At 51.2% G+C, this 19,563-nt stretch overlaps 1 long non-coding RNA gene across 3 annotated transcripts in view, besides 1 other annotated feature; it reads right to left on the bottom strand.

The window, feature by feature from the left end:
* Window positions 8,332–8,854: an enhancer, noted in NCBI's record as "H3K4me1 hESC enhancer chr10:80696869-80697391 (GRCh37/hg19 assembly coordinates)". NCBI's record gives its function as "activates a minimal SCP1, AML or CMV promoter by ChIP-STARR-seq in primed H9 embryonic stem cells {active_cell/tissue: H9 hESC(primed)}" and the evidence as "EXISTENCE:reporter gene assay evidence [ECO:0000049][PMID:30033119]".
* Window positions 14,546–19,563, bottom strand: part of ZMIZ1-AS1 (ZMIZ1 antisense RNA 1) — a 124,123-nt gene continuing 119,105 nt past the window's right edge. For all 3 annotated transcript variants that reach the window (NR_015429.1, NR_024429.1, NR_024431.2), the window contains 2 exons: window positions 17,132–17,209; window positions 14,546–15,967 (listed from right to left, as the gene is read on the bottom strand). This is a non-coding gene — a long non-coding RNA (ZMIZ1 antisense RNA 1). The remainder of the gene's footprint in view (window positions 15,968–17,131; window positions 17,210–19,563) is intronic.

The raw sequence follows: 19,563 nt of genomic DNA on the forward strand, positions 1-19,563 counted from the left end.
ACCCAAGGCTGGTCAACTCCGGCCTGCCTGGGTAAGTGCTGAGTGCTGCAGGGAGGCATGCTACAGATGTGGGACTCCATTGCATCTTTGGGGAGAGATCAGGAAGAGCCCTTGTAAGCCCCTGCCTGGTCACAGAAAAAATCTCGTCTGCAATAAGCAAGCAAGCAATGCGGCGGGGAAAACATTTGCTTAGGATGCACACAGTCCAGGCTGGATCCCTTGTGTCACACCAGGCTCCCAACTGTGTGGAGGTAAGGGCAGGCTTGGGCCAAAATCCCAGCATTGAGTCTAACAAAATGCCATGGCAGGGCCTTTATCAATGTTCATGAAACGGAGAGCCTCCTCGACCTCCCTGAGCCTTGGTCCCTTCTCTTGTAAAAACCACCCATGTTAGGATGATATTTGCACTGCACTTAGAACATGGTAGGAGCTCCACAAGTGGTTTTGTGACTACTTATCTTTCACGGATAAGGAAAGTGATCAGTAGAAAAACTGTGAGAGGGAATTAGCAACTGATCAAATGTCTAGAGCAGTTTTTAAATTTTTGCATAACATTACTTTCCAAAACTTGCCCATGTCAGTAATTTCTTCTGGTGCATCCGGACCACCTATGGTCAGTATTGAAATTGTCCTCAATAGAGGGTTTAGTGGCATTCCTGGAGTCACATGGCAGGTCAGAGGTGGACCAAACAACAGATGCCCTGCCTCCCAGCCCAAGACCTGCCCAAAACTTGACCATGTTGTCCCTGCTAAAGAGCACAGGGACCCAGTGCTGGGGGGCTGTCTTCTCTCAGGCCAGTCCTCCAGGGAGTAAGGGATCTGGGCAGGCAAGACTGGAGGCCTGACAAGAAGGTGTGTCCCAGGAGGACTTTGTGCAGAGCTCAAAAGGATGGACAAGTTTGGCCTTGGTTGAGGTTGCTTCCTGTTTCTAAGACAGTACAGTGGCCCTTGGTGTTGTAAGGATCCTGTGGGCAGTGATGCTGCACTCTGAGTAGCCTCTGGAGCCAGTCTGAAATCTGGAGTGGGAGTTGGGGGGCAGGTCGGGGTGGCACAGCTCAGCCAGACACTTTGGGGTTGAGAGGCAGTTTCCAGATTCAGCCAGCACCTGGAGTGATAAGAAGGGAAACTGAGGCAGGAAACCTGTCACACAGCTTGAGTCAATATAGCTGACCCCTGCCCTGCAGATTCTGAGCCCAAACTGCCCAACAAGTTCCAAACCTGCCTGCTTGTGGGCAGAAGCTCCTGAGGCCTCCCTGCCCAGCTGGGCCTGCCCAGACCCTACATCTCCAGGAAAGGATGGCAGTGGCTGGGACAGGCCAGCACTTCAGAAAGCTTGCCTGCCAAAGGAGCCACAGCTCATGCCTCACAGGCCTCACGAAGACCCATGAGCTCACCAGGCAGGGGCTGGGAGGGCTTGAAGTCAAATGCCATCGGTCTCTTTTGATATCATCCTTAAATTAGCAAACTGTAACCATTGGGGGAAAGTGGGTAAAGGGACCACTCTGCGCTCTCTTTGCAAATTCCTGTGCATCTAAAATTATTTCAAAATGAAAAAATACAAAAACATGACATTGGTTTCAAAACTGACCTCCTCAGCTCCTGATGCCGCCAACCTGGCAATCCTTCAGCAACCCCGCCCAGCACCCAAGCAAAGCCCCTGATCCAGTGAGGACCTTTTGAAAAGAAACTGCCCCCAGACTTTGCTCCTCTCCCTCTTTCCACCGCCTCTGCTCTGAGTCAGATTTGCATTGCCTCTCACCTCACAGTTGACCCCTTCCTAGTTAGCCTCTGACCTCCACTGTCTCCCTCTACAGTCCACACCCTATGTCACCAGTGGAAGGCATCTCAACCTCAGCTCTGCTTCAAACCCTCCAGAGGGCCCCATTCCTTTTGGGATAAAATTCAGCTCCTCAGCAAGCTCTTCAAAGTCCACCCCAATGTGACCTCAATCCACACATCTGTCCAGTTTCATCTCATCACACGAGCCCCACCTCGATGGAACCACAGACTTAGGTACCAGCCCCAATAGACCACCAGACGGTCCTCAAAAATGCTACCCACTTGTCCAGCCTCTCCTCCTCCGCTCAAGCTGTTCCATCCATCTGGTAGACCCTTCCCTAACCACCTCTGTTCATTAAAATTCACCTCTTCCTTCAGTACTTAGCTCCAATTTCTTTTCTACTTTGACCCTGCCCAGGGGAAGCATGCCTTCCCATGGCTCCCAGGTGAAGAACAGAAGAAGAAGCACACTCTGACCTCCTTGTCCATTGGGGTGTGTGGCACACATTGGCTGGGCTCTCAATGTGGGAGTGCCCTGGGGACGAGGACCAGACTTGGTTCATCGTTGGCCCATTAGAGATGCTGGATGGATATTTCTGGAATGTATTTGTTGTTGAGGGAAACTCATTCCTCAGTGAAGAGGATCAACATTTGGGCCCCAGAAGAACTGTGCAGTTGTTTTGAAAAGAAGGAGTGGAAACTACTGACCTTCAAAGCAAATCTGAGCTGAGGGTGTGTCTGAAACAAAACACACAAAGGGAGGTGGGGGCCAGGAGGGGACAGGAAGACCTTCCAGCTTTGGTGTCGCACCCAGGAGAGCCTCTTCCCGAGCCAGGAGGAGGTGGAGCTCGGGTCGGGTGGGAGTGCCCCTCCTTCCCTCCCCTTGCGGTCCTGCAGGATGCTGCTGATGTTCCATCGACTCCCTCTCGGGTGGGTGTGGGGCTGGCTTCCTCTGAGCAGGTTCCCCTGCAAAGGGAGTCCTGGGGTCCCTGGAGGAAGGCAGAATGTGAGTGAGGCTCGATCCAGCCAGGCCAGCAAAATGGTGCCCGCGGCTGCATGGCCGCATCGATCCTGTGGGAGAGGGAGGAGGGCTGGCGGGGCCAGGCCTGCTGTGCTCAGCAGGTATCTCGTCTGCTCTCTCCTCGGCCACGCCATGCAGCCTTGAGAGAGTCTGTTTGCAATTACCGCTTGTTTTGATTATTAGGTCAGAATATTCATCTCAAAGGGCTTATGATAGAAGGCCAGAGCAGGACGGTATTTCTCATTCCAGACTAAATCTCCCAGTCTTTTTGTGTGTGCGTGTGTATTTTTCCCCTTTTCCTTGTTTAACCAATTTATTCAGTTTTTGACTCCAGAAGAGGGATGGCTGCAAGAGGCAACCCCAGAGGCCATGAAAGCAGTGACCCTGGACCACAGGAGGGGAAGGAACCCCACCCAGTGAGAAAGCCAGCATGGGGCGGGCTTTTGACTCATCCGGAAGGCAGCTGGCTGCTGGAAACAGAGGCTGGTGTTGGGAGAGTCGTAGAAGCCCAGGCCTGGGAGGAACTCTGGATGTCAACCGTCCAACCTCAGCACATATTTTGTTACCTCTGCAGCATCTCCACCAAGTAGTTAGGCAATCTCTGCTCCCATTCCTCCAGGGATGGGGAACTCACTACCTCCTCAGGCAACCTGGCTCACTGGGCATCAATTCCAGAAAGGAGAATGCATCCTTTCTTGTAAGAGTGGTGAATCCTTGACCTCTGAGACTTCTCTAGGCAGAATACCCTGTTTCTTCAACACACTGAGTTGGATATGTACCCAAGCCTCATGATCATCCTGAGTAAATGCAACCCTCCCCACGGGGTCTGAACCCCCAGAGAAGCAGGATTTCCACCTCCCTCCTTCCAAACAGCCTGCCTCTCTCTCCTCGGAGACGTTGCTGCTTTTTGTCAGATCCAGGTCTGGAGCTTCCAAAACTGAAGAAAATGTCCTCACAGGGTGCAGTGTGATGGCCGCCCCTTCCCCCTCTGGAGCCCTCTTCATCTGTACTCACGGCCCAGGCTCCTGAAAATGAGTCCTTCACGAGTCCTCAGGATGAAGAGGAAAGGGGGAAGAAAAGAGAAAGGGAAGTCACAGTGCTCTCAGCCCCAGAAGAGTCGGTGTGGCTTTCCTAGCCTCAAAGGCATGGCAGCCTGACTTCTGGAAGAGAGAGAGAGAGAGACAGAGGAGACAGATAGACAGAAACAGAGAGACAAAGACAGATGGAAGCAGAGAGAGATCAGGGTCTCCTGTAGACCCCCTGAGCACTTCCAAAGATCGTTATCCACGTCGGTATCACAGCTACTTTGGGAAATACACACCCATGTGATTTCTATGATGACCATTTTGCAGCATTAAAGAAAAAGATGGAGCTGAAAAACACAGAGGCCACCAAGCTAATAAAGGTTGGCACCAGGAAATGAGGCAGAGAGGTTCTTTGGGGCAGAGCCTTGTTGGCAGGCTCATGGGCGGCCCACAGACTGGCAAATTTGTTTTAGATGGCGTGATAACATAAACAAAATTATTTCTTGTCCAAACAAGCTCTTTGGGATTGAAAGGGGATGCTAGCCACGTTCACTCAGGCCACGGGCGCAGCCCTGGCTAACAGGGACATACGGCCCTGCTGCCACGGAGGCCTCCAGCTCCAGGTCCCCAAGCCAGTCTCTCCTGCTCTGCCATGCCCACCCCAGAGAGTGATCCAAAGGCACCACCCATCCAGAAGCAGCTCCGAGGACAGTGCAGAGACTTCCTTTCGGCTAGCGCCCACCTTCTTCTAGAATGCAGATTGCTCTGTCCAGTTGCCCGCCAGACATCTCCTCCTGGATGGTCCATGGGCCCCATGAGTGAGCCTCCTCTAATACAGACCTGCAAGGTGCCAGTATCATGTGGGCATCTGCTCTGCCCCACAGTGTGTGTGAGGAGCCACAATAAAGGCCAGCTCTCAGCATGGACTTGCAGCCTAGAGTTCAGTCTGGTTCCTTGACCTCCCCACAGATCTGGCTGCATAGCTGTTCTCATGGTGTCTGCCAGACCCCTTGGAGAACTGGAGATGGACGTCTATCCCCATTCTCCTCTCCCCTTGCAGACTGATTTGGGGTTGGGCCTGCTCCTGACTTCTCTGAGTAGCCACCCCCTCCACCTCACCTTCATTTGATCCAGGCCTCAGTTTCCACCCGGCCTTGGACTTGGTTTAATCATATTCACCCATGTTCACCACAAGCTGAACACAGACCGATGTGTCCAAAGAGAACCCCGACCCCTCCCAGAACGCATCCTCCGTTTGGGATTCCTGATGTTGGTGAAAGGCACCACCAGGTATCTGCTCACTGGGTGAGTCCTGTTGGTCCCAGAACTGCAGCTTATGTCACTGCAATTTACTCACCTGTCTTCCTGTTCCCCAGGAAAATGATCACACCTGTATCTAGGGGTCACCCTTGTCATTCTTTGACACTGTCTCTTTCCCATGCGCTGTGCTTAGTGGGGGTGGCCCATGGGCCGTGTCAGCCATTGCTTGCTCAAGCCAAAGGCTGGATGAACAAGTGACTATCACAAAGCCAACAGGGGCCCAATCTGGAAACTTGGCTGCATTCAATTCCAGTTGTTCCAAAAGATTGGATTGATTTAATAGGAATGCTTCCTAACGCGTGAACAATTATTATTGTTTTAAATTAGCAAGAATAAAATTCCACCATCTTTCTCCCAGAAGCTGCTTCCAGAGAGGCCAAGCTGTAAATTCACAGCACCCGCGAGGGGCTAGATAAACAGCCAACTGAGCGGCAAGGAAGCTCCGCAACCGAAAACATCTCCAATTCATAGATTCCCTTACGGGAAGGGGAGGCTGCTGAAGAGCCAGGAGGAATTCTTTTTCCTTCTCATTTTAAAAGGGAATCTTCTCATTTGTTCCTGCCCTTCCTTCTGGCTTCATAAGAGACACCTGAGGTTGAGCGTGCTTGGCTGACAAAGAGGGACTCAAGACATACGTTGAACTAAGTGAGGCAGCTAGTGGTATCATCGCAAGAGCCTGCAGCACTGTGTCATTGTGTCATTGTATAGGGGTGTAGTGTGTGCCATCTCAGTCCCACCCTTCCCTTCCTTCATGACATCACTGCTGTGGCTTTTTTCCAGCCACAAGACCAGGCTTCACTTCCCAGCCAATGAGGTAAGGCTCACTCCCAGCTCCACCCCATCCATTCCGTGAGCCTGGCCAGCCCTGGCCCCTCTCTGGGCCTCAGTTTTCCCATCTGCCCCATGAGCCCTGGCTGTGAAGTTCTCAAATGATAGTGGCCCCTCTGTTTGTGAGACCTTGTCATAGAGTCACCCCCTAAATTCTTAGTGCTCACTGGAAGAAACAGACCAAGTCCTGAGCAGCCGCCCCCGGCCAGGCTAGTAAAGCACATCCCAGGACCCCAGGGCAGAAGAAGCAAGTGGGACCATCCATGTGATCCTGATGGGCTCTGGAGGTGTGGAGCATGCTGGAGTCAGGTTCTGCTGTGGCTCGGCATTTGTTCACTGCAGCAAATTCCATCCTCACCAAGCACCTTCACTTGCTCCGGGTGTGCCTGAGCTCCATCCATCATTTATTCATCTGTCAGATTGTACTGGCTCCTTTCCACATTCCAGCACCTGAGCTGGATACTGATGCAACAAGGATGAACAAGGCCCCGCTCTGGGCATGAGGAGTAAGGGGAGACACAGGAACATGAACAGGTCATGCGAATGCACTGTTACAAGTGGAAGCTGGAGACAGCTTCAAGGTGGTAGCAGGTAGGAAGGGTTCCTAACTGAGTGTGGACAAAGAGATCTCAGGCATGGAGTCAGCTGACCTGAGGCTTAGGTGAAGGCTAGGAGCTCCCAGCTGGAGAAGGAGCACCAATTCTTGGCAGAAGGACATGCACACACCCCTTCCCCCAGCTGCAGCTTCATTGGTCATTCCTGATCACATTTTTCCTCTGCAAACATTCCCAGCTCATGCACCCATCTCAGCACCCTCACCTCCCCCACCACCCCAGCTCCCCTGCCCTGTCTTGCCCTTCCTCCCCAGTGGTCCTTGCTTGGGCTGGGGTAGTCGGGTTGCACATGTGTGTTTGAATATGCCGGCCAGCATTGCTTGTGGTCTCATAATTGAGTCTCCCCAGGAATGGAGAGACGTGGGAACTGAGCTCCTGGAGCTGATGGACCAGAGAGGGGTGGGGCAGGGAAAAGAAGGACCCTGAGAACCAGCCAACTGTGGTGCAGCCCCCAGGGCTCTGGGAAACCAGACGGGAACAGGATTCCCCAAATCAAGGAAGAGTCTAGGCAAGGCCAGGGCGCCTTGGGCTGCTGAGTGTCCTGTTGTTGGGAGAGAGGTTGGGCCCTGCCAGCCCTTGGCCTCCTCCTCTCCCACTTACCCTGCCCTCAAGGCCAGGACCAAGGCCCACAAAGTCCTTATGCTGACCTGGCTGCCCCACCGTGGGGAGAAGTCCCCACTGCCCTGGACCAGTCCATGCTGCCTGAATCCTGCTGTCCTTGTCACCTGGCTCCAAGCTTACTGCAACAACAGCTGCTGCTGTCCTCACCCCTCCCCTAGCCCTGTCAGGCGCACCCTCTTCCATTTGCCCAGAAGGCCATGGAGGCCACATCATAATGTAGAACAGAATTTTCCTGAACGCTGGGGAGTACTGGGAAGTGACGACAGCACAGGGCAGAATAGGAAACAAAACGGATGGTTCGACGGGGGAGGGACACTGACGCCTGGCTCCTCTCTCAGGCGTGGCATGTGGCCCAGGCCTTGTCCCCACACCAAGGCAGTACCTCTATCCCCCCTTCTTCCTGGATCCCTGTAGCCCCAACCCCTCCTTCTTCTTGAGCTTCTAGGGGAGGACCGCTAGCTTCTGCAGAGAGGGGAGAAGGCAGGGGAAAAGGAGGGAAGGGGAAGAAAAGGGAAGCTCACACCCATGGATTTTATTTCACCAAATCTCCCCCCAGCAGCATGGGAGTACCTATGATCTCTACCTTACAGGCGAGGAGCTTGAGACTCAAAGAGGAAGTGGTGGAGTCCGCTATCTCTCCAGCACTTCATTCCTGGGACACATATTATCCCAGGGCTTCTGGACTCCAAGCTGCCCCATCATGCCGCAGCCAAGGGGCAGAAGCCTGGGAGTGGGGGAACCTCTGAGATCTGGAGCAGCAAGATCTGAGGTCCTGTGTCTCTACCCTTCCAGCTGGCTCCAGCTGGCCGTGACATCTCAGGGAGCTACAGGCCATGGGCACAGTTAGTTCAGGGAGCTTAACAAATGTTTATAAAACCTTTCATACACAGTTAATGATCCTTATTAGGACCTGGAAAAGCAGTCACTCCTGCCATGTCCCGGCTTTAAGGAGCGTTTTATTATTACACGTCACTCCGCAAATTCACGAGAGAAGTCGTGGCCCATTTGTCAGCAGGGCCAACGCCCGGGGATGCTGACAAGAAGCCTCTGTCCTGGGACTGACTGGGCCAGATTTCTGGCTCCACTTGCCCTCCCTGCCACCCCCACATGCCCATCACCCTCAAGCTGCCAGTGCACCAGCTGCCTTCCCTGAAAAGTCCCACCTTGAGGCTGGCTGTGTCCCCAGAACCCTGTGCCTGGGACCTGAGTCAGGCAAGGCCTGGGGCAAGGTACCTCCCTGTCCTGGGCAGGGAGGGGAGGCCTTAAAGGGAATCCAGATGCCTAGGCCCCAGACCCAAGTCTAAATTATTGACCAGGTGCCCAGCTGGTCTGAAGATCTATATTTGGGAGCCACAGTGCCTGAGACATGAGCCTCTGACGCCTGCATGCCAAGGCTGGCTCTGCCCATGACTGTGTGACTTTAGGCAAATCTCTCCACTTTTCTTCAGTATCCCCACCTGTAGAATGGGCAAATCATATCTACCTCCAAATGGTTTTTGTGAATATGATATCATTTTATGTGAGCAAAGGGTGTGTCGTGATGACACGGCCAAACCTGCCTCTGCTGTTGGAATGGTGGAATCCCAGCATTCGGAGCAGGAAACCACCGAGGTCTGGGTGAGAAGCAGGAGGCAGTGGAACTAAACAGGGTAATGGTTGCACAACCTTGTGGCTGTATGAATTGCCACTCAATTGTACATTTAAAAATGGTTTACGTTATGTGAATTTCACCTGAAAACAAAAAGCCAAACCAATCAAGTTCCTTCCCACCTTAAAAATGACATGCCTACCAGGCTCTGAGCCTGGGTGTGGCTATTCCCTCTGCCCACTCACATTTTAGGGTTCATTGAAAATCATTTCCTCCAGGGCTCCCGCCAGGAGGTGCCCCCTAATGTGCTATGTCCCCATCCCCGGGAGAGGGCAGCACCCTCGCTAAACAATAGGCTGGGGGAGGGGGATCCTATCTGCAGCTGTCCCTCATCTGGCACATAGTAAGTGCTCAATATTTGCTCATGGAATGGAAGATTTCACTTTAAATCAGCCCTAGTTTCAGGAACAAAAAGCAGGGCAGCCCTGCCCCAGTTGCACAATTGGTAGAGGAGCGGGGGGCCAGGCCTGTCCCACCCCTGGAAGAGGCCCCTGCCTTCCTATTCCCTGTCAGCAGCTTCCCCTGGGTGGGAAGCACAGCCCAGACATTGAGCCTCTCCTTCCCAGCCATCAGCTAATCTGCCCCCCGCCAGCCAGCATGCCAGGGCCCCTGTCTGCCCTTCCTGTTTCCCCAGGACACTGCTGTTTACATGGTCAAGGGCTTATCACACACAGGCAGGCAAAGGCCCATACTAGGAAACCTTGTCCTCAGCATCTCCTGACACTCCAAGGTTTTGACTGTTTGAGCCTTTCGCTTCTAAGTGCTCCTGCTGGAAACCGCTCACATGCAGGGCCTCAGTTTCCCCAACCCTAACATAAACAGATGAACAACGACTTATTGATTTAACACCACTGTGGAGTGATGTGGCTAAGGGGTGGGCTTTGTATTCCAAACTCCTGGGTCTGAATTCCAGCTCTGGTCCTCACTGTGTGAAGCTGAGCCAGTGATTTCACTAAGACTGCCTCGTTTCCTCTTCATGAAATGGATATGATTCCAGTACTCACTCTCCAGTTCTGTAGCACTTTGCTGTACCTAGCACCGTGCCCAGAGCATTATAAGCACTTACGGCTGTGAGCTATGACTTTCAGAGGTCCTTCCCTTATCCTCACGACTCAGATCCTTCACTTCTTCCCTTACAAAGTGGAGGAGAGGAGCAATTTTGTGCACTCACCAATGGGTGACTGCAGCCCTTGGCCAACACTGGTCACCAGAACAGCCAGAATAGCCCTGGCTCTGGCATCTTTCAGCCACTTTGACCTTGGATGCATCATGAAAACAAAAAAGGGAATTTACAGAGGAAGAAGCAGAGATCCAGAAAAGACTGAAGCTTCCCTCACTCACCCAGTTATGCAGAAGTGGCCTGCAGGTGGAAAGAGAATCCACCCCTGGAGTAGGAGTAGGGTCCGGGCTCTGCCTGTGTGGTCTTGGGCCAATCACTGCCCTCCCTTAGCCTCTGTCTTCCCAGCCATAAAATGGGTACATTAATCCCTACCCAGCCTAACCCCCAGAAGGCACACAGTGAACATGAGAGAGGGGCTGTGAGCGGCACCCTCAGGCAAGTGGGCAGGACAAGGCACCTGCCAAGTACCAGGTATCAGCCTCACTCCAAGGACAGATGCTCAAAGTGATGTGGCTCCAGCTATGACCTCTCTGGGGACCCCAAGATGAATCACTTGATTGGCAGCTCCATTTGGCTGTCCATAAGGCATTTCAGAAACAGCCAGACCAAAGCATAACTCTGTCTTTCCACCCAAACCTCCAACTCCTCTCCCGGTGAACACTACTCCCGCCGTCCACCCAGTGGCTCAAGGTCACGATCCTGTACGTTGTCCTCAAATACCCTCTTGCCCTCCCCTCCTACACCCATCCTTTCAGCAAGACCTATCAACTCTGCCCTGGAGACACACCCCAAAGCCACTTCTCTCTAAGCCCACTGCCCACAACCAGGGCCAAGCGGCAGCCACTAAATCTGGATTGTGCGAGAGGGGCCTAACTTCCCTTCCAACTGCAACTCTGGGGCCCCCACCTTCCATTACTTCGAAGAGTCATTGGATCCCATCACTTATCTGTTTTAAACCCTCTGAAGTATCCTTATCTGGCTGGAATAAAACATAAGCCCCCTACCTGCCTTACAAAGCCACGCACAATCCAACGGCTGGCTTGGCTCCACCCCTCCCTCTTCCCCCATTTAGGCATACAGCCCTCTTCCTTCCCTCCAGTGGGCCAAATTCTCTCCCTTCTGTGTCTTCTTCCCCTGGTCTCCATCATTCAGATCTCAAATTAAAGTGTCCCCTCCTCAGAGAGGCCCAACTGCCCCACTAGTTTCCTTATTCACAACTCAGTAATGCACCAGATTCCTTCAGTGCTCTGCAGGGAGGTTGCTCCCATCTGCCATTGTGTGCCCACTTTGTTTCCTCTCTTGCTTCCCACAATACGGACGGCAAGAAACTTACTCCTATGACTCCTTGCTGCATCCCAGCATGAGCAGAGCCTGGCACATAGAAGGTGCTCAGGAAATATTCGCTGACTGAATGAATGAGGGAATCAATGGGTGAATGCAATACAGCTTCAAAAAGCCTGCCTCGATACAAAGTTTTACCTGAGAGAGGCCTTTTAATCTGCAACTCCTCAGGAGCTAGGACGGGGTCTGACTCACATCTGGGTGCCCACCACAGAGCATGGGGCTTAGTACAGGGTTGGCACTTCGTAAAGGTCTGTCCATTATCTATGTAGGCAACTAACAAAGACCATGCCAGGCTTGGGAAATAGTGAGTAGGATGAGCTACCTATGCTCTGGGAGCTTGCAACCCAAATGGAGAGAGAAAAAGGATCACACAGCAAGCCAATGGCTTAATGGAGATAGATATAAAATGTGCAATGGGATCATAGAATAAGCAAAATACATCAAGTCATAAAGTGACATATACAGTGGAATACCATTTACATAAAAGTTAAAAGTTTAAACCTGAACAACAACACTGTATGTTGTTTATGAACACAAAAATACATGGTTAAAAAATAAAAACATGCATAAGAAGAAAGGCACCATCTCTGCAGAAGGAGGAAGAGGATTAGAATTGTGGAGGCCACATATGGGGCCACAATCTTATCTATAGTATTTTATTTCTTGAAAAGAAAAATCTGAAATAGATATGGCACAATATTAGGATAAGAAAGAGCTCACTGGGACATCCATAGTTGTTTGTTATACTAGTAGTCTATGGGTTTGAAATACTCCAAGATCACCTTGTATTAATGCAACGTGACTACAGAAAAAGCACCCTATCTGTTGAATGAGTGTCTGATGTGTGGCTGACTTAGTGGATGGATAGATGATGGTAAAAAGGACAGATGCATGCATGCCTGGGTGGATGGAAGGATGGATGGGTGGATAGATAGATGGATCCATAAAAGAACGGATGGATGAATGGTATATGGCTGGATGGGTGTTGGGTGGATAGATAGGTGAATGGATGGGTGGATTCATGAGTGGGTGGATCAAATGGATGAGTGGTAGAAACGGTGCTAGCAATTCTCAAAACTTACCGTACTCCTTCCACATTTGTTGAGTACTTAACCACATGTCAAGCTCTATGCTAGGCCCTGGCATAGTGCACACAGGATTCGGACAAATCCCTTCCCCATAGGAGCTCAAAGTTGGGGCTGAGATTCAGGTCCAATGGGGAGATGATGTGAAGGGCTACAGTCACAGATGTGTATCCACAGTGAAATGATGGACAAACTCCCATAGGGACTTCTCCATAGAGGAAACAGAGGTTCTTCTGTGTTCTTGAGGGATGGCTTGTTCTTTGGGGAAGAAAGCAAGCCTGGTGTCCCAGGCAGAGGGATACCTGAACTAGGAAGGGAGGAGTGGGGCCATGGAGAGTCTGGGGAAGGGCTACTAGCAAAGGAAGCACAGAGGAGGGAATGGAAAGATGAAGCCAGCAAGAGGAATTGAGGCCTGGATTGCCAAACTGGGAGGCGAGACTTCACTCTTAGGCCAGATGGGTTAAGTCTGACCAATTGTCAGAGTCATCTGATTGGACAATAAAGGGGTTAGGCCCAGGAATCTGAATGGATCCAAGTCTATGCTCACCCTCAGCCAGGCCCCCTACTCCACCCCACTCTCATTACTGGCTCAGGGTGGCTTGGTCCCTATGGGCAGGAGCCCTTTCCATGGTGCCTGCATGTGTTCACTCCATGCTAGGCTCAGCAGCCCCAAGTGCCTAAGTGTGGGTGCCAGGGCCTGGCAGGGGAGGGAGGTGGGAAGCCCATGTGCATGTCTGCACACTGACCCTGATGGCAGCACGCTTTTGTTGTTGTTGTTGTTGTTGTTGTTGTTTTATCTCACCAAACAATTCTCCAACAAGAATTTTATTGCTCAGCACAGGCTCCCAGCTAACTAGGAGAGCATTTTTCTAATTACATTTCCCTTGAAATACACCCGGGTTTGAGTTAACACCTCTTCAGTCTGCCAAAACCTAAGTCATTTTAAAATTAGTTCTGGAGGTTTTGCAAAAAATCCCACCGGGATGCAGCATTCCTTTCCCACCAAGTTGTGTACTGAAAACTCTCCCCAGATGCCAAGAGCTGCTTGCCTTGGAGACTACGTGCAGAGGGCCCAGGGAAAGGCCCACATCCTGGCCCCACAGGCTCTCCTCTTTCTCAGGTCTGTTGAACAGCCCTTGCAATGCTACAAGATCGATAGAATCATAAATGCATTTTGCTCTAAGCAGTCTTTCTGATACTCTTTAAAAACCACATGGATGGGAGGGAAATGTGATCCATATGGTTTTGAATCATTAACACTTAAATCGTCAAAACAGAGAGTTATTTTCCAGTAGAAATTTCATATCCAAGGCACCGTTAGTGGCTCTTTAATAAACTGTTTAAAATTCTGTTGTTCCCCCTAAAACATGCAAGCACATGCCACATATGCAGCACACATATGCATACCCCACTAACTCTGAGATGGCATCATTGGGAAACACAGCCCATTAAGCACATCTATCCCCAAGACAGGGATGGGCTAAAAGCCCTCTTGAGGCATCTTCTGAGCACTGGTGGTGAATGAAATCTACTCTGTTCAATTATTCAGGCTGAGGAGTTCCATAGAGCTTTGAGCTCATCTGGATAAGCCCCTTGATGGTACAGATGAGAAAGCTGAGGCCCAAAGAAGGTGCAGACTCTTGAAGGGTTGGTAGAAGTCACAGGAGAGTATGTCAGGGTGATGAAACCACATGGACAAAGTGCCCACTGCCATTACCCCCATTGCCTAAATGGTAGGGTGTGAGGTAGGGATCTGGGCAGGAGAGAGAGGCTAGTGACTGGTCATAGAGCACATTCCAGGGCCCCCCATAGCCTGAGTAATTAAACTCCCTGCTTTAGCCTGCAAAGTTGTGGAGAGAGGACTATCATTTTCATGAAATGCAGATCAGATCCTAACTCTTGACACAGTGACAGGGATGGCACGGAATAATAGGGTGATCAGTTAAAAGATCATTGCAGGACCTCTTAGGAGAAATAATGATTACATAGGCTTGAGGCAGAAAGGAGGAGCTAACCTGAAAGGTATTTTGGAGATAAAATTGATTGGACTAGGGGCCAAATGAGTGCAGCTAGTGATGGAGAAACAGCATCAGGATCGGATTCCTTTCCTACGGCTTCTGTTAAAAAATTACCATAAACATACCAGTTTAAAATATGTAAATTTATTCTCTTACAACGTTCAAGGTCAGAAGTCCAAAATGAGTCTTCCAAGGCTAAAATCAAGGTGTCAGCAGGGCTGGTTCTTTCTGGAGGCTCCAGAGGAGAAACCATTCCTTGTCCCTTCCAGCTTCTGATGTCTGTCAGCACTCCTGGGCTTGTGGCCACATCACCCCAACCTCTTGCTTCCACTGTTGCATCTCTTACTACTCACTCTAACCCTCCTGCCTCCCTCTTATAAGAACCTTATGATGACATCAGGCTCTCCCAGATAATCTCCCCATCTCAAAATCCTAAACTGAATCACATCTGCAAAGTCCCAGGGATTCGGATGTCAAAACCTGGGGCCTGGGGGCATTATTCTACCTACCGCAAGAATGAAACCCAGATTTCTGACTTTTGCAACCAAGTGATGCTTTCACCCAAGGATGGAGGAGGTTGGTGGGAAAGATAATTAGCTTGATATAGGAAACAGTAATTCTAATTAGAAGTCTGGGAGACATCCAGGAGGGGAGCCAGAGTAAGGACTGGTCCAAGAGGACCCAGAACACAGGAGGGAAGTGTAATTAGAGAGTGTGACTTTTAGGTCTTGGGTAACATCAACATAGCTATAATCATAAGATAAAATGAAGCTTTATGTATTTCACATTTATTTCCCTGGCCAAAAAGGGCCAAGGCTAAAGAGAGAGAAGGAGGCATTGATCAAGACTGAGGAGCAAGACAGTTGATCCAAGAAAGGGGAGTGGGAGAGTTGCCAGAGTGGGATCAAGGAGAAAGGGTACAACATCAGATACAGGACAGGGTCAAATGGGATAGGTCAATGATGACCTCAAAGCCATTTGAGAAGAGTGGAAACAAGTGGCAGGATTTGCCAGGGTTTGCCACAAAAGTTCTTAAAGTGCAGACAATGTGAGAGCTTTGTGTGCAGAGGGCAGGGATGGGCAGAGGCTGGTGCTGCAGAAGAGAGAGGGACTTACTGCTAGAGCCAGGTCTCAGAGGGGTCGGGACAGCACAGGAGGAAGGGAAAGGGGGATGTTGGTCCTTCTCTTTTCCCAGGAGGAGAGAGAAGAGAAAAGGGAGCATCAATGATCAAGCGTTTGAAGATGGAAAGAAGAGAAGGTCACCTAGATATTGTACAAAATCAGGAGACGAGGTCATTGATGAGAATGGGACTGAGAACAGCTAGAGGTGATTGTCAGGCTGTGAGACAGAAGAAAAGTCCCTGGAGTGGCTCCATGCAGAACCCATCTTCCCCTCCCACTACCTCCATGAACCCTCTGGCTGGTAGTCCCAGCTCTCACTCCTTTGTACTTTCCAAGGTATGAGGCTGAAAAAAATGGAGATTCCCTGCTGGCCGGAGCATGATCTCCTCTGCCTTCCTTCTTTGTTCTCCTGTGACAGGGCCCTTAGGTCGAAAAGAAGCAGCTGATTAGACATGAGGGAGCAGAGGAGGCGGGACCTAAGAGCAGTCACATGTGAACATGAACTTGAACTTGAATGAGAGCCCCTTCCCCCTGCCCTCACCCAGGAACCTCAACCTTGGCCTTCCTCAGACTTGCCTTAACCAGCTCTCAGTGCTCTGTGTGATCTTGTCCAACTCCCTCCCCATCTCTGGGCCCCCTGTTGAAATGAGAGACTTGGAGCAATGACTACTAAGAGCCTTGCAGCCTCCTAAGCACAACCTTGGATGTGGAAGAGCTGTCTGAGTTGTTGCAGGGAGCCCCAGCCTCTTTGGAGAAGGGCCCAGGACTCTGTCATTTCATAAACATGATGCAGGCCTGTTTGGTGCTGCATAGCTGTGGTTTTCTGTTTTCCCCAGCAGTAGCTACAAGGCCTGGGCTACAGCAGAGACAGCCCAGCAGGGAGGGAGAGGGTGGTGGAGCGGAGGGCAGGAGAGAGAGTGCTTCTCTGTGCTGCCTCCTCTGCTTGGCTCAGAAAGTGTGCAGAAGTGAGAAAAACATGCAGGCAAGTTAGGCAGACCCTTCCTCCACCTCCACCCACCCATCCCAAAGAAAGTGGTACTTTCTAGCTGCTTTTGTAAAATAAAAAACACATTCTCCTGGTTGGCCTTCCTCTGCTTTGGAGCATGCAACATGCATACCAACATGCAGCTCTAGTAAACTTAGCCTTGGGCAGGTTTAGAGGGAAGAAGAGCGCCCCAGGGATGAGATGGGGGTGAATGTGGAAGCCATCTGCAGAAGCACCAACAGACCTGCCAGATGAGCCCGTTATTTGTGTATACTTCAACCTGCCCAGACCCTCGCTGGGGCCTGGCCCACAGTAGGCCCAGATAACCCTGTGCTTATTAAGCCACATAGAATGGAACCTGGGGAGAATACAAGGTCATCATTGGAGAGAAGAGATGGCCATGAAGGGTGTGGCAATGTGACTGATGCCCCACTCAGAGCCCCTTGCCTGGACATGAGGATCCATCACCCAGGTGTTGCAGGATGGGGTGTGCGGCCAACAATACACACCACACTTTCTCAAGCCAAGGGGAGCAGTCTTGTCCAAGGATGCCTGAAATTTGCCCACCCCTCCGAAGGTCAGCCCCCTGCCCGTGACTTACTGATGGTGGAGTGTAAGTTCCAGTGCTCTTGCTTCACGATGGGACAAATCTTCAGTGCAATTCCCCCTCCTGAGCTCCCTGTGGGATGAGACGAAGGCTGCACTTTGCACCTCTGCTTAGCTCTTTCCCCTCCCCTATCCTGCTTCTCTCACTGTCTCTGGAGAATTCCCCTCAATGCACCACTTGTACTGGAATCCCTGCTTCAGCTCCTGTTTCTGGTGAACCTGACCTAAGATACCAAGGAGAGCCTTCTAGGCAAGACCCAGCTTGGGAACAGCCTTTCCTACCTAAAGCTACAGGGGTTACCAGGCTGCTCCCCAGCAGCAGGAGAGAGCAGAGGCTGTTTTGCAGGGCCAGAGTTTATTGGTGCAGCTCTGCACACTCAGGAAGGCTGGTGTGCTGCACCACGGCAGTAGCAGACAAAACCAGAACACAGTCCAGCTCCTAGAAGCCTCAGAGGACACCCAAAGCTGCAGGACACCAAGCTCCATTCCAGCTCAAGCACTGCTGACCAGTTTGGCCTGGTTGGTTGGGGACGAGCTCAGACAGAGATGAGGCCTGCAGACAACTCAGGCCAGAGCATCACAAGGCGAGAAAACTGGGCTCCAGGACAAGGGCAGAAGGGCCCTGAGCCCCTCGTGGCCAAAGACCTTACCAATACCACAAAGCCCTTACCTGGGTGGCATCAGAGCTACAAAACAATACAAAAAAATTACAACAAAGGCAAAAGCAATTGTAACAGTAACTGTGATATATATAGCAGGTCAAATGCCAATTCTGGGTAAAGCCTGCTGCTAGCCTATGGCATACAATTGCTTTTATTTAATTCTTCCGCCTTAGTGCATAGGTATAATCTCCATTTTAGATAAAATGGCACACATGAGTAGCACATATGTGCTTCCATGCAATCAGGAAAGTATATATGTCCACACGCTGTTGTTTCAATTGGCTGTTTAAAAATGAATACAAGCTGGGCATAGTGGCCCAGGGCCATAATCCCAGAACTTTAGGAGGCTGAGGAGGGTGGATTACTTGAGCCCAGGAGTTCAAGACCAACCTAGCCAGCATGATGAAACCCTGTCTCTACTAAAAATACAAAAATTAGCTGGGTGTAGTGGTGTGCACCTATAATCTCAGCTACTCAGGAGGCTGAGGCAGGAGAATCACTTGAACCCAGGAGGTGGAGGTTGCAGTGAGCCAAGACTGCACTATTTCACTTCAGCCTGGGTGATGGAGTTAGACTCTGTCTCAAAAAAAAGAAAAAAAAAAAGGAATGCAGACTGTCCATGTCCAAGGACCTGCTTATTAAGGATGCTGCCTTAGGTGACAGGCAAGAAAGCCCCACCGCCTTTCCAGGTCTGACTCTCCGTGTCTGATTCAAATGCCTCGCCCTCCCCTGCCAGCCCAGCAGCCGCTGCCCTGCAGGACAGAGCAGGCAGAGTGAGCACCAGGATGTAAACACCCTCCTGCCAGGTCCATCAGATCTGCTCAGCTGCAGCCTCTCCCCTCTCTCAGGAGCGAGCTGAGCCGGATTCTAGAGCTGCACCAGGGAACAGCTGCATCAGAAACCAGGGCTGCTTGGCTATTTCCCAATTCCTATTTATGTTGGGAGAAACAAATTCCCCTGAGGCAGTGACCTCTGATGTGCACCTGTGAGTACAACCTTGAGGGTGTCAGGCTGGGGGTACTCAGATGTTTCTGAGGACACCAGACACCTTCAGATATTTCCAGAGCTGCCCACACCCTGTGTCTCCAGGCTGTGAGCTCAGCCCTCAACTCCTTATTCTGAAGGACCCTTGAGAGATGCTGTTGGTCTCCCTGAAGCTTCTGGGACACCTGGCCTTAGCCCAAGGCTCCTGAGCTCAAAGCACCGAATTTGGAGTCCACAGACCAGGGTACATAGGGTCCTGGTCTCTATGGGAAGGAAGATCCAAGTCTCTGCAGCTCTGGGGAACACCTGCACTAACCCCAAGGAAAAGGAAAAGTCTCAGTCTCCTCCTCTGTGCATGGGTCAGCATCACAGGTTAGGCTGTGTGACAAATAAGTCCCCACATTGCAGGGCCTTCCCAGGATGCTCTCTCCTCACTCAAATAAAGGCATGCCCAGGCAGGCTGCCCTCCTTCATTGTGTGGCTTTGACCTCCAAGGCCACTGCAGAGCTGGGGAGAACAGGATGGAGGAGGTACACATCTCTTAGCTGCCTGGCCTCGGGGGCACATCCAGATTTTGTGGTTCTGAAACTTGCACAATTTGGGGGGCCCTTTCTTCTTTTTTTTTTTTAGACAGAGTCTTGCTCTGTCACCCAGGCTGGAGTGCAGTGGCACGATCTCGGCTCACTGCAAGCTCCGTCTCCCGGGTTCATGCCATTCTCCTACCTCAGCCTCCCAAGTAGCTGGGACTACAGGCGCCCGCCACCACGCCCGGCTAATTTTT

This window comes from Homo sapiens, chromosome 10 (genome assembly GCF_000001405.40).
Source record: "Homo sapiens chromosome 10, GRCh38.p14 Primary Assembly".
In the NCBI taxonomy this organism is placed as follows: Eukaryota; Metazoa; Chordata; class Mammalia; order Primates; family Hominidae; genus Homo; species Homo sapiens.